Source organism: Homo sapiens, chromosome 2 (genome assembly GCF_000001405.40).
Source record: "Homo sapiens chromosome 2, GRCh38.p14 Primary Assembly".
Classification (NCBI taxonomy): domain Eukaryota; kingdom Metazoa; phylum Chordata; class Mammalia; order Primates; family Hominidae; genus Homo; species Homo sapiens.
Genome location: NC_000002.12, coordinates 87,141,368 through 87,156,562, shown reverse-complemented (window position 1 = coordinate 87,156,562; position 15,195 = coordinate 87,141,368). Strand labels below are relative to the sequence as shown.

At 38.7% G+C, this 15,195-nt stretch overlaps 1 pseudogene across 1 annotated transcript in view; it reads right to left on the bottom strand.

Moving 5' to 3' along the window:
- The window catches only part of LOC102724642 (anaphase-promoting complex subunit 1-like), a 71,644-nt pseudogene that overhangs the window by 40,297 nt on the left and 16,152 nt on the right, over positions 1 to 15,195 (bottom strand). The window contains exons 9-12 of the transcript NR_171620.1: positions 12,330 to 12,544; positions 9,934 to 10,052; positions 6,457 to 6,728; positions 49 to 283 (exon numbers count right to left, since the gene is read on the bottom strand). The product of NR_171620.1 is annotated as an anaphase-promoting complex subunit 1-like (transcript). The remainder of the gene's footprint in view (positions 1 to 48; positions 284 to 6,456; positions 6,729 to 9,933; positions 10,053 to 12,329; positions 12,545 to 15,195) is intronic.

Sequence of the window (15,195 nt, the reverse complement as noted above, 5' to 3'; positions counted from 1 at the left end):
GAGTGGAGAGTACATGCCTATGAAGATTCAGCACTATTAATCCCATACCTATCTCAGCCAACAGGACTTCTGCAGTATGTCTGTGAGCTGTCCCTTGATATACAAGGCCAATGCCAACCACTGCAGCCACTTGGACATTGTGAGGAACATCCAGCTCTGTGGACGTTGGGGGTAAGAGAGCAGGAATGCGAATGCTAAGAAGCCGAGTAATAGACATATCCATGGTGCCTAGTTTTGCAGCAGAAACACCAAGTAGCAGTCCAATGCTTGTCATTTCATGGCCCTAAGATAGAAACAAAACAAATACATAGTTTAAAATAAAATACTGCCTGCCACTTTCAAGAAGTACTTTTATGTTGACAGGCAAGGTGAGAGGCACTGAGAATACAGCAGTAAACTAAACAAACATGGTCCTTGCTCTCATGGACCTAATGACTTAATAGGAAAAAAAGTGTTAAATTAAAAAACATAAACAAATATATTATTAAAAAGTAGTACAATAAGAAAGTACAAAGTATTATGAAAGAGTATTTTAAAATAGCTTAATTTAGATTGGGAGGGACTAGAGGATTATTAGGGATGAAATCTCTAAAGATTATACAAAGAAATTTATATTAGGACCTGAAGGATGAAAACAAATTAGCCAGGAACAGTGGCAGGAAAGAGGACACTCAAGTTTAGAAGGTGAGGAAGACTGTTTCAGGTGATAAAACAGCATGTAAATAAATGGCTCTGAGGCGATTCAGAAATGAACCCTCACATTAACATCAACTGACCACAAGGGTGCCAAGACAATTCAACAGGTAAAGGGCAGTCTTCAAAAAACAGTGCTGGGACAAGTGGAAGGACACATTCAAAAGAATGAGGCTGGACTCAACACAATATAACAAGTGTTGGCAAAAATATGGAGAGATTGGAACTCTCATGTATTGCTGATGGGGTTGTATAATGGTGCAGTCATTATGGAAAACAGTTTACAGTTCCTCAAAAAGTTTAACAGAGTTACCATATAACCCAGCAATTCCACTCCTAAGTATGTACCACTACTTACCATTACTTCATTACTCTTGAGTAATGAAAACATACATCCGCACAAAAACATGTATACAAATGTTCATAGCAGTATTATTCGTAATAGCTAAAAAGTACAAATAACCCAAATGTTCATCAACTTATGAATAAAATGTACATTCATAAAATAAAACATTTATTCAACAATAAAAAGGAATGTATTGCTGATAGATGGTACAACATGGATGAACCCTAAAATTATCAGGCTAAGTGAAAGAAGCCCATCCTAAAATACCATATTTTGTATGACTCCGTTCATATGAAAGGTCCAGAAAAGGCAAACCCATAGACACGGAAAGTAGATTAGTGGTTGGCAGGAAGTGAAGTGAAGGTGGGGGGGTGAGGTAGAGGAATGGGGAGTCACCACTAGTGGGTACAAGGTTCCTTTATGGGGTGAAAAGATGTTCTAAAATTAACAGTGGTGATGGATGCACAACTCTGTGAATGTACTAAAAACCACTGTACCACACACTTTAAACAGTGAATTGTATGGTATGTGAATTTTATATATTTATATAAATAAAGATTCCTTAAAAAAAAAATAACGCTGTGAAGTGAAAGAGTTTAGTTTGCCAGAGAGCTAAAATAGCCAATCTGTATGGTTAGAGTGTGGGGGAGCAAGAAGAGTGGGGCTGGGTGCAGAGGCTCACGCCTATAATCCCAGCACTTTGGGAGGCTGAAGCGGGCAGATCACCTGAGATCAGGAGTTCAAGACCAGCCTGGCCAACATGGTGAAACCCTGTTTCCATCAAAAATACAAAAATTACGCAGGTGTGGTAGTGTGCACCTGTAATCCCAGCTACTCAGAAGGCTGAGGCAGGAGAATTGCTTGAACCTGGGAGGTAGAGGTTGCAGTGAGACGAGATCACACCACTGCACTCCAGCCTAGGTGACAGGGTGAGACTCCACATCAAAAAAAAAAAAAAAAAAAAAAAAAAAACGAAGAACAGTGGTACCACCTAGGGCTGGAGAAGTGAACAGGATCACACCAGCTCCTAGAATGTATATTAAGAGCAATGGTCGATCCCCCTTTGCCCTCTGGTGTTGGGAATTTTGGCCTTGTTCTAAACCAGTTTCCCTTCACAGAAGTTCAGCCATCGTGTGGGATCAGAATAAGGTCCTGGGGCAACTAAAGGTATCTGGCCAAGGGTACATCCGAAGGACCCTACACCGGCCCCCAGTCCCCAACAGCCTGTTCAGGTGTCGGACAAAGACTTCCAATCTTTCCTATCATGTTTTTCCTACTGCTCTTCTGAGAAATGTTACTTAGTTATGTGTCTCTTTGAGAAATTGCTTCTTTTCAGGGCAGGATGCTGGGTTATGCTTGATGAAGCTAAATAAACTGCCAGCCAGATGAGAATTATAGACAAATAATATGCAGGGACCCCCCCGGATTCATCTTAGTCTTGAGCTCATATAGAATTCAGAGAAATCAAAGGCAGTTGACAAGGAGGGTCAAGGCTGAGTGCAAGTGAACGCAACTACTCCTGCTGGCTTGATCCCCCCCTGGTCATGAATGGTGGCTGCGCGCACATCCACGACCAAGGCAAGCCTGAGAGACGCCTTGGACTCTAGCACAGCAGAGGGAAAGACTAAGGATGCCTTTTTCTCCCCTCTCTCTTTCTAAATGGGTAGCCTGCACTCCTCTCAAGTGCGAGACATTGGGACTCCTTTGATCCTCAGACTCTGAAGAAAAAATACCTGGTATTTATCAGTAGCAAGGCTTGGCCCAGCTAGAAGTTGGAAGATGGGGAGACCTAGTCAGCTGGGGAAAATAACAACTATAATACTATCCTATAGCTAGATCTCTTCAACCACAGAGAAGGAAAATGGTCCAAAATTCCATATGTATAGGCCTTTTTTGCCCTGCAGAATAACCGCAAGCTCTGTCAGCAATGTATAATAGACCTTGCACTTATAGCAGTGATATCCAGCCAGACTTAATCCAGACAGAAGGGAAAAAACAGTCTGCCTCCTTAGAAGAGGAGACAGAGGCCCCTGCACCAGCCCAGGTCCCAGCTCCTCTTGGATCATCTCGTCCCCCTTATCCAGGCCCCCTTTTGAACCTCATCCTGTTAGAAGAGTTCGACCTGGATGCGCTCCAGCATCACTTCTTCCTTTACAGGAAATGCATAGTGAATATGGTCCTATCAAAGTACAAGTCCCCTTTTCTTTACAAGATTTGAGGCAGATAAAAAGAAATCTAGGACAATTGTGTCGACCTGGATAGGTATATTGAAGCCTTTCAGAACCTTAATCAAATGTCTGAGCTTTCATGGAAGGGTATCATGTTACTTCTCAACTAGACTCTTAGAGCTTCAGAGAAGCAGGCGGCTTTACAGGTCACTGAGACATTTGGAGATGAAATGTTTATCTTATTATGGCACCTACCAAAAGGGGGAAGAAATTAGGGAGCCCTTTCTGACAGCCAAGCAGGCAGCATCCACCAATAATCCTCAATGGGACTCAGACACTGCTCTAGGAAAGTGGCCGAGAAAACATTTTTAGGGATGCACAGTGGAAGATCTGAAAACTAGAGGCAAATCTCTCAATTACATTAAGTTATCAACCATAAACCAAGGGTCTGAAGAGAACCCTTCTGTTTTCCTGGAAAAAACTGAGAGAGGCTTTAATTAAACACACATCTCTCTCCTGACTCTATAAAAGGATAGTTAATTTTGAAAGACAAGTTTATAACCCAAGCAGCCCCAAATATTGGAAGAATGCTGCAAAAAGTTAGCTATTGCACCAGACAGTACTCTAAAGAAAATCCTGAAAGTCACCACCTTGGTCTTTTATAATCGGGACCATGAGGAAGCCCAAGAAAAAGGGAGAAAAGGAACGAGAAAAAGGCAGAGGCACTAATAGCTGCCATACAGGCATATAAACCTCTCGATCCCAGGGAGCTTCTCATTCTATGACCGACTGTTATCAGTGTGGGAGCACTAAAAGAGAGTCTGCCCCCGAAATCAGAAGCAGCCCCCACGGCCCTGTCCAATCTGTAAGGGAGACTACTGGAAGACAAACTGCCTCCAGAAACATACGTCCCAAGGTTCAGAGCCGGCTTCTCAAATGGTCCAGCAGGACTGATGGGTCCCAGGGCTCTCCTCCCCAGCTCTGACAGCCCAGGCTGCATTACCATCCAGGAGTCCCGGGTGAGTCTGGAGGTCAAAGGACTCAGAGGACAGACTTCCTACTCAACACCAGAGCAGCCATTCCTGTTCTCCTCTCCATTCTGGGCCTCCCCTCCTCCCTTAGCACAACTGTGAGGGGCGTCTCAGGAAAGCCTCTGACTCGATATTTTTCTCAATCCCTTAGCTGTACCTAGGGAGACCTTTCGTTTACCTATGCCTTTTTAATCATACCTGAAAGCCCGACTCCTCTGAGGTAGGGATATTTTAGCTCACATGGGAACCACCATCCTTATGGCTCCAGGACAGACTCTTTGCCTCCCTCTGGTGGAGACTGATATTAATCCAGATGTTTGGGCAATTCAGGAAAATACTGGCTGAGCTACAACAGTCTCACCAGTCCAAATCCATCTCAGGGATCTCATCTCCTTCCCTAATTAAAGACAATATCCCCTAAAACCAGAAGCTAGGAAACAACTAGAAGCCATCATTAATAACCTAAGGATGCAGGGCCTTGTTAAACCCTGCGACAGTCCTTGTAATATCCTAATATTGGAAGTACAGAAAGAAACCCAACAGGGAATGGAGACTGGTCCAGGATCTCCACCTCCTTAATGAGTAACTGGTGTAATTAACCAATTTACCCAGTGGTTCCCAATCCCTATACTTTGTTAACTTAGATACCTGAAGGAACTAAATGGTTTGCATTCTTGGAATTAAAAGATGCTTTTTTTCTGCATACCATTATACCCCAACTCCCAAAACTTGTTTGCATTCAGGGATCCCTCCAACCAGACTACCCAGCTAACCTGGATGGTGTTACCACAGGGATTCCAAGACAGCCCCCACCTGTTTGGGCAGGCAATCTCAAAAAGATCTCTCTGAGTTCTTTCAAACTCAAGTTAGTCTTAATATGTAGATTACACTCTACTCTGTGCCCCAACTGAGGAAATTTCTCAGAAAAGCAATAAGGCTCTTCTTAATTTTCTAACTGACAGAGGACATAAAGTTTCAAAGTCCAAGGCTCAACTCCGTCAGACTTCAGTGAAGTACCTATGCCTGGTCTTGTCAGAAGGGACCAGGACACTGGGCGAGGAGAGAATTGGATCCATTTTCTCCTTCCTTCTCCCCAAGACCCTCAGCTAACTAAAGGGATTATCAGGCATTACTGGATTCTGCAGCCTATGGATCAGAAATCTAATTAAAAGCATTGCAATGCCTAATTATAACATATCTAATAATCTAGGGGGACATGCCCATGACAACCCTATTTTGCAAAATCCTGGAATAGAACAGTCCATTTTCAGAGGTTTTCTTCCTGTCCTTTCTAGGTGTCCCTAATATATGGGCATGGATTTTCCCCCTTTTAGTTCCTCTTTGTGTTCTCATTGTAATACTCATATTTGGTCCATGTGTACTTAACCTCCTTGTAAAATTTGTTTTTTCTCGCCTAGAGGCCATCAAACTCCAAGTGGTCATGCAAATGGAACCTCGGTTGATGGCTCTCTTTTACCAGGGGACACTTAGATAGGCCTCTAAGAGAGACCTGACTGCTGTTTCCCAAAACAACACCCTCTGTCAGCATGAAGCAGAACAGTCATCACCCCTATCCGAACAGCAGTTAGATATACCTCTTCAGAGCGGGGATTGATGGCGGTAGGAGGCAGGTAAATTCTCAGATGAAACTCAACCTTCAAGCCAAGGACAGTCGAAAGCCTGAAAACCAAGCTACAAGTTCTGGATAAATCCATGGACTAGAGAGCTCTCATTCCTGTTTGGCATGCTCTCTCCTGATTGGTCCTTATCCTTCACCTACTTTACATATACCTGCCCTTCCCCAGTTGGTCCTCTACACTATCGTGCCTATTTCTAAATGGTGCTTTTTCAAGCATACCCACAGACCAATCAGCATGCACTTCCCCCATTTCAAGCCCATAAAAACCTCTAGACTCAGCCTCGTGGCTGGCAACCCACCTTCGGGTCCCCTCTCGCTGTTGAGAGCTTTCCTGTCACTCATTAAATTCTACCCTGCCTTACTCAAAAAAAAAAAAGCAATGGGAGATCATTAATTAAATGGCTTTGACCAGAGAAGTGACATACTCTGATTTATGCTTTAGAAAGATTATTCCACGTACTATGAGACAAATGGACTTAGAAGTACAAGAATGAAGAAAGAAGAGCAAATAGAGCAATTAGGAGCTACTACAATAGCCAGGCAAGGCACAAAGCCAGGCACTGGGAGCACAGGTCTCACCTTGGTCAAGTAGTCATGGATATTGAAAGTCGCCAGCTTGGTAAGGTACCCATTCAAACCCAGAGCCACGAGAAAGCCAGCATACTCATTGGCTAACTCAGCATGCTTGGGCTTATTGTAAACAATCCAAGCTGAGTCGATCTGGGAGGCAGGAGCTATCTTCAGGCCAGCAGCCACACCATTATGAAAGCTGGCCCAGCTTGTCATGTTGGGAGGCACATCGATGTTTCCACTATTAAGGTCTACTGTTGTGTTCCGAGGAGGGGCACGCCCTATCCAGCCAAACGAAGAACACTGAGAGAATAAAAATTCACAAAACCAAGATTGTTAAATTTAGATCTTTGAGACTAAGATTACTTACATTTTCTACATTCAAAACCATTAACCCCATAATGCCTGGAATGTTAGGTCTCTATGACCACTTAAAACTTTTGTACATGTGAGTCAAACTTAATGGAACTGGAAAAACCATCACTGTCTAAACAGTTCATTGTCCTTTTTGCTAAAATGTATGAGGCTATATAATGAGATAACTGATACCAATTTAACATTATACAGAGATGACTGGGATAATCACTGCTTTGAAATCTTTCTTTCAAACAGTAGAGAGCTTAGAAACCAAAATGAAGACTAACATCACTGTTAAACTATACAAGTTATAAATCCCAACATCTGATGACATTGATGTTAATTTCAAATGTTCTATCCTATATTTTCCCCTGGACATTAAGGAAAAATGACATCTTAAGAAAAGACAAAAGCCAGGCCTGGTGGTGCGTGCCTATCCCAGCTACTTGGGAGGCTGAGGCATGAGAATCATTTGAACCTGGGAGGCAGAGGTTGCAGTGAGCCAAGATCATGCCACTGCACTCCCACCTGGGCAGCAGACAGAGACTGCATCTCAAAAAAAAAAAAAAAAAAAAAGACACAAGAACCTTAATAAATCTGCTACAGCTCTTACCTATATATGCCCCCTTCTCTCTTTTTTTTCTCTCTCTCTATATACATACAGATATAGATATCTAATTATATGCTATTGTTTAAAATGCTTAGAGATAGTTTTGTAAAAAGCATCCTTTTATAGACTTGAGTCACCCAGTGAACTTCAAAAGGGCATTCACTAGATTTACTTTTATGGTCCATTTAAGAACAATGTAAATTATATGTTCACAATGCTATATGTTCCCTACGAATTTTTTCTTGATTCTTTTCTTTTTGATCTACATTATACACAGCAAACACTGAATCTTTTTAAATATATTTTGAATACTGTCTTAAGTCACAGATAAAATAATTAACATAAATATTTTAATTACTGCATAAAGTTATCCATTTCACTGCAGCTTTAAAAGTACCATTTTTAAAGAGTTCTAAGATGTTATGTAAAATAAATTTTAAGTAGATGCAGAGTGTCTTATTTGTAGCATGTACACATACACACACAAAGCACAAAGTAAGACTTATTTGTCTTTACTATATGCTTTTTGTACCTAAAAGCTAACTCAACTGCTAGTGTTAGCACCACAATGAGTAATAAGTTCATAAGTTACACTTGCACTTTCTCAAAAAAGGCAGACATATCAATATGAAAAAACTGAGTGAACTTTCTGAAACTTTCATTCATCATATGCAAAAGACATAATATTTATACACGAGAGAAAATAAAATGCAAAGGGTAAGGTAAATTTTCTTCAATGAGAATAACAACATACAAAAGTACAACAGGCCACATCAGTGTGGGTTAAGCAACTATTTAAGAAAATATTCTTTCCTAAATTAAGAGGATAACCTTTCTTTTTGGCCTACCAGAATGACTAAAAGAATAAAATGTTGGATTAATGTCATAAACACATTTTAAATCATGCAAATTCAATTAAATGTATTCAGAAAAAAAGATGCATGTATATATTTTTTAAACCCACCCAAGTATCGCTTGAGTGCTAAATCACCCAGATTGAATACATTTTAACATTTGCCAATTTTGCATTAGATTTCCTTTTTAACCCGCACTCATTATATGAAATCTTTCATATAAACAGTTGGAAAGACTACTAAAATGAACATCTATATACCATGCCTTCCATCAAGAATCAATAATTGTTAAAATTTTGCCATAGGTGCTTTACCTCTGAGACAATTTAAATATTAAAAGCAACTCTGCTCACTATGTCCCTCAGTGAGATTAGGGCTCAGAATAAGCATGATATGGAGATGGGAATGTGTTCTTCACTTAGTCAATCTCATTTCCTGCATGCTGCTCAAAGCACAAGCTGTTCACAAATCTGAGTGGAACTCTGGATTTTTTAAAGTATGCAATTTAAAATACTGTACAATTATGTTTGCATATATTATGTACTATTTATCATATATTAAATTATACATTATATACTACTACATATACTATACACTACTACAACATACATTACACATACATTTTGTATAGGTTTCACAAAACCATATATACTATAATAGAGTTTCAATGATAATTTCAACTATGTAATTGTCACCTTTAGAACACATTCAAATCAGCATTAGGCGGACATACACTAAAAAACTCATTGTAATCAAGACTATAACTACAGTTATACATAGCAGAAATAAAAACTTGCACCAACCAGAAAGGCAATTTGACATGTTCCTTAAAACCATTCATCTTGCTGTCCTAAGAGTTCTACTTCTAAGCATTTAGCCTAAATACATAGGACGAATACGCCCCAACAATGTTTATAATACCAAAAAACTGTAATTTCCAACAATACCAGGCTGCTTCTATAAACTATGGTATATCCACTGAATGAAATACTCTGAAGCAAATAAAAATGAATGTATCGATTAAAAACACGTGTATACAATACATACACATAATTATAAACACATACATTTATTTGCTAGATATAAAAGGATGTTCACTGTAAATTTTAAAAAATATCTAAAATAGATTTAAATTTTCTGATAATTAAACAAATATAAAATTATAAATATGTGGAAATAAACTTAGTAAACATATATATTAAAATGTTAAAAGGAGTGATGCAGAAGAGTGGGAGTACTGCAAGTGACCATTTTTTCTCTTTTTGCTTAGGACATTTCTTGATTTATACAATGATCATCTGTTTAAACTATGACATAAGACATTTTAAAACTAAATATTTTTACATATTATACTCAAGATTATTTAAAATTCAATAGTCTCATCATTATCAATTATATCTTTCTGAACTTCTCCAAGTGACTTTGTATATCTTGAAATCACCTCATTAAAAAGCAAAAATGAGTAACGAACTATATTCTGCTTCTCTCAAGGTTTAGTTTGACATGGTATTTGAGCTTTGATAACCACTATAGCAGCTATTAGGAAAATTTAAAATCACTGGGGATAGAGGGAGCATTTCTTTTGTTTTAACTAATTTAAAGAACTACACTTAATGCATGTACTTAATCACTTTCCTTTCTCATTGAGCCCAGAATTTAACATACCAGTCAGATTCAATTTAGGAATAGGCAATGGCTCTGTTGGAACAGGATGGTACGAAAAAAAGGTAAACATTCCTCGTCCTACAGGAAGAGCCATAGTTTGCTGACACAATTGGAGTAATCTGTAATTAAAGTAAAAACCAACATGTGAAAATGTTTAAAGCAAAGCGCAATTGAAATATCATCTGTAAGTATTTCAAAAGAAGGTGTACTGTGTAAGATGAAGTTGTCTCAAAGTAAATTCATACACAGATGTGAGTGAACTACCCAAACATGATTATTTTCATTTTAATATTCTTGTTCCTATTACACTCTTAGGGAGAGACATATTTCCTCTGTTTTGTTTCATATTTACATTGAATGAAAACCACCTGGCCTATAAACCAAGCCGACTCTCTCTAGGCATTCAAAAAAACAAAAGAAATTTAAAATTCCACTCCGATGGATGCTAACCTTCTCAAAGGAAAATACAGTACTTTTGGGGTTTTTATCACTGTGTTAATTTCAGTCTAGCTGTCCTCAGTACATGTGGGATCCTCCTCCCATCCCTTTTGCCAATACAGCCTCAGAAGTACCATTTCTGTGGCCTGTACACAAGAAAAGAAACAAGGTCCCTATGTTAGAGGTGAATGGATTTCATGGTGTCTCCAAGGGAAATACAGATTGGTTTCACTTACATGATGGCTAGGTTTATAGGACTAATACCATTATGTATCAGGTATGTTCAAGGTTAAAATGGTTTCTGTCGGCTCTACTGTGAAATTAATATACCACTCTTCAACTTGTTCCTCTGTTAAAATAGCTTAACATTCCATATATCCACTTAAAAAAAACTAACAGAAATTTTGGAAGTAAGGCATTTATAACTAAGAAACGCTTATACAAGTTATATCTGAAGACACAGAAATATCCCTTCAGAGGCTGACAACTGACGAACATTTTCTCTGCAGACAAAGCTATTCATAAGCATACTCCCTCCTTAACTGGACACACATAACTGCTTTTCTAGCTAACTGGAGAGAAAAATTTTGCTGTCTTAAAGATTCTCTGGGAACATGACCGCCACATTAATTTGGGATCAGGAAAATTCAAAGCCAAGAGTCTGTTGCAACCCATAGAATTTTTTTAGAGGAAATCTTACACATAATTCACTTCAACTTTGCACAAGTAACAAAATTATAATGAGAACAATATTATATCCCCTGAATATAAGATGCCACTCATAAGATGTATCATTATTTCATGAGAAACTAAGAAAGAGAAAGCACTGCCAGTTAAACTATGACACCTGTTCACTGAAATACACATCTGATTTCAGAGATATTAAAAAGTGAAAAAACTTGCATCTTAGAATCAATGAACTCTACTACTAATAATGGCTGACTGCACTGAGCTTTACTATGTATTGAGCAGTATTCTAAGTGCTATGTAAAAATAATTCACTTGATACACAGCACCATCCCATGAAGTATGCCTATTTTTACAGATGAAGCAACTGAGGCAACAAGAGGTAAAGTAATTTAACCAGTCACCCAGCACAGCATGGCCATGCCTGGCTCTAGAGGCCATGCTCATAAATCCTATGCTCTAAACTCAACTTCTGTCACTCCATCTTTTTATTCACAGGTGACTAATAACTGGGTACTTGTGGAGAGGAAACAGTTAATAGGGAAATCACAACTAATTCAGATCTTCAGCAGCCTGTGGCTAAGTGTGGGTGACGGTTCCCCTCAAAACAGTACCATAAAAAAAGTAAAGAGAACTAGAAAACAGTGACAGATGAATGATAGATGATAGAGACAAGCAGATAAAAGAACAGGAGAGAATTTTAAAATAGAAGTGTCCCAAGAGAATAGCTCTGGAATGTCACAGGCATGTGAGTCTTACAATGTATCAGGGGATGTATCCTGTGCAGGGGAGTGGCAGAAGAAAGGCTTATCTATTTTTATTTGGAGTATTATCTATCATATCCAAAAAAAAAATACTGATATAAGTTTAAACTACACTAAAAACCCCACTAACCTCAAAATCTATTCCTGATCAAGACACAGAAAAACAAGTCCAGTGTTTTCTTTGTTTGTAAATTCTTAAGGTAACTATCAGGCAAAATAGTTTTACATTCACCTTTTCTAAAGAGTAAACTGTTATATGTATTTCAAGAGGAGGACGGTATGAAATACAACAATTACGTCCTCAAAAGCCAAAGACATTTTGCTAACACACGTGGTTTGTTGAAGTTGGATGAAAACTTAAAACACAGGGCATATTTTCACTTGAAAGTATCTTTTAAATCTCTTTAGGGTTTTAAATGCTAAAAACTTGAAGGAAAAACAAATATAAACAAGACACAAATGTAACAATGAAACGTGACAAGAGATAGTACACGTGTTTTCTTTCACCTGTTTTCCTTTTCCTCGATGAACTCGTGGTCACTGAGCTCTGGGTACTGCACTACGTTGACACGGACAGGATGCGCACTCTGAAGAAGCCTTCGCACATCCTGCACCCTTAAATCTTCACTCCATATTAATGACATGACCTCGTGATTCATGTCATTCATGCCATCATCTTTCTCCTCAGTTTCTGTACCTGAAGGAACATCTGATGAGAGCACCTGAGTAACAGATTTATTATAATAATAATTTCAAAAGCAGTTAACGTGCATTTGCTGAACATGAGGATATATAGGCTGATGTGTCATGACTATACTAGCACAGAGAAAATATGTTTTCCAAAGCAGGCCTGGGTTGGGGCCGCAATGTATACTGGGACTCTAATCTACAAATCTTTCTAAAAAGTACTATATTGCTGGCTGGGTGTGGTGGCTCACACTCTGTAATCCCAGCACTTTGGGAGGCCGAGGTGGGTGGATCACCCGAGGCCAGGGGTTCCAGACCAGCCTGGCCAACATGGTGAAACCCGGTCTCTACTAAAAATACAAAAATTACCTAGCCAGACGCAGTGGTGCACACCTGTAGTCCCAGCTACTGGGGAGGCTGAGGCTGGAGAATCACTTGAATGCGGGAGGCAGAGGTTGCAGTGAGCCGAAATCGTGCCACTGTACTCCAGCCTGGGTGACAGAGTGAGATTCTGTCTCAAACAACCAAACAAACCAAACAAACAAACAAACAAAAGTACTACATTGCCTACTTGGAAATATTTGGAAATGACGGGGAGAGTTTAAATTTAGGGCAACAGTCAAGGGGCTGGATACGAACAGAGAAATATTCTGAATAAACTATAAAAAAAAATCTAACTACATCCTGATCATTTCTTAAAAAAAAATTATTGCAAGTAGAATATGAATACTAGTCACTGCTAATAATGCTAATTTAAATATTGTCTGTTCATTAATAGAAGGAGAAGGAAAAAAGCCTGAAAGGATATACCCCAAGGGTTGGGGGAAGTCACACAATGAAATACCTTTTACTTTACTACTTTAAATAGACAGGATCATGGTTGGATTCCATTAGTAAGTTTTTTTTTGTTTTTTTTTTGAGACAGGGTCTTACTCTGTCACTCAGGCTGGAGTGCAGTGGTGTGATCCTGGCTCCCTGCAACCTCCACCTCTTGGGCTCAAGCAGGCTTTCAACCTTAGCCTCCCGAGTAGCTGGGACTACATATGTGCACCGCCCACCCAGATAATTTTTTTTATTTTTTGTAGAGACAGAGTCTTGCCCTGTTGACCAGGCTGGTCTTGAACTCCTGACCTCAAGGAGATCCACCCACCTCAGCCTCCCAAATAGCTAGGACTACAGGCACATACCACCACACCTGGCTAAATTTTTTAAAAAATTGTTTAAGTAGAGATGAGGTCTCACTATGTTGCCTAGGCTGGTCTCAAACTCCTGGGCTCAAGCAGTCCTCCGCCTTGGCCACCCCAAAGTGCTGAGATTACAGGCATGTGCCACCACACCCAGCCAGTTTTCACTATTTTTAAAAAATGTGTTTCCAATAAAAATTTCTTAGAAGGAAAAGTACTGAACTACAGCAAAACAAGTAAGAGGGTAAATTCCTTGATTGTCATCATGTTCTAAGCCCAGCATGTGCTTTAATATGGGGCTTCCCAGTCCAAATAATTAAATCTAACTGCAACACAGATGTGAATTGCGTGGAATCATATCATATTCTCTCAAAAACAGTATTATACTCTTTTAACAAAAGAATAACTCCAAGTTGAAATGTTAAAGTTTTGCAACATTTAATGTGAAACCAACAAGGTCAGCCTGAAAAAAAAGTAGATACGACCAAATAATCACTTTTAGTTCCTAAAAATTCATTTTTAGCTCCTATAAAATATCTAATTTAAAAAAAAAAACTATATTCTAATGGGTGAGTTAGCTATAAAACATAGTCTCAAACAGTGACAAAATAAATTTAGATGGGATTAGTTATAAAATGTAGCCTCAACTGAACAAACTGTATTTAGACATAATTACTTAAAATGACATTCAAATACAGATTAATATTTTAATGCTAATGGTGCTGAACTGCTCTCTCTCACAGGAAAATCATTTTATAAGCAAAAAGATTTGTTTTCTGTTTAAAACAGGATGTAAATACTAATTCAACGAAGAGCTGTGATTGAGGCGCAGATTAAAGGAGAGACGTGCTGGGATGACCGTGCTGGAGATCAGATGCCCATGGAAACTGACTCCGGCATGGGTACACATTAGGCAACTCTGAGGTTAGGAATAAGTTTTGATATAGGCTCTGAAGAAGTAGTAATAAGACCTAAGGTGACTCATAGTTACAATGCACTGATTATTATGTATTGATTCAAAAGCTACTAAGAGGTAAGACCAAATTCCCACTGTCTTCTCAGGGACATGAACATAAAAGAGTCACCAGGAGTGGAATTATTATTCCTGAATCCTCCTTGATGAGATTCTACTGTTCATTTTTTAAAGTTACCTAGAATTCTAGAATAAGTTTTAAAAGTTTCATTTTCAAGTTTTAAGAGAGGATGATATAAAAAGATAATTGGAGAGTAATGAAATAATTTTACTTTCTACTTGCAGGATTCCTAGAACTCATTTAAAAAAAAAAACAGACTTGATGATTGATGAAAGACAGTATTTCGGGAGGGATAGCTTAAGACATCTTTTTAAACAACTCTACTAAAAAAACACATTTTTTCCCTGGGGCTGCAGTTTTATGTGATTAAATAAATATGTTTACACCTATTTAAAAGGTTAAATTCAAAAAATTCAACACATCGAAAAATATGCAGTAGAAAATATTTATATATAATTACTCATCCAA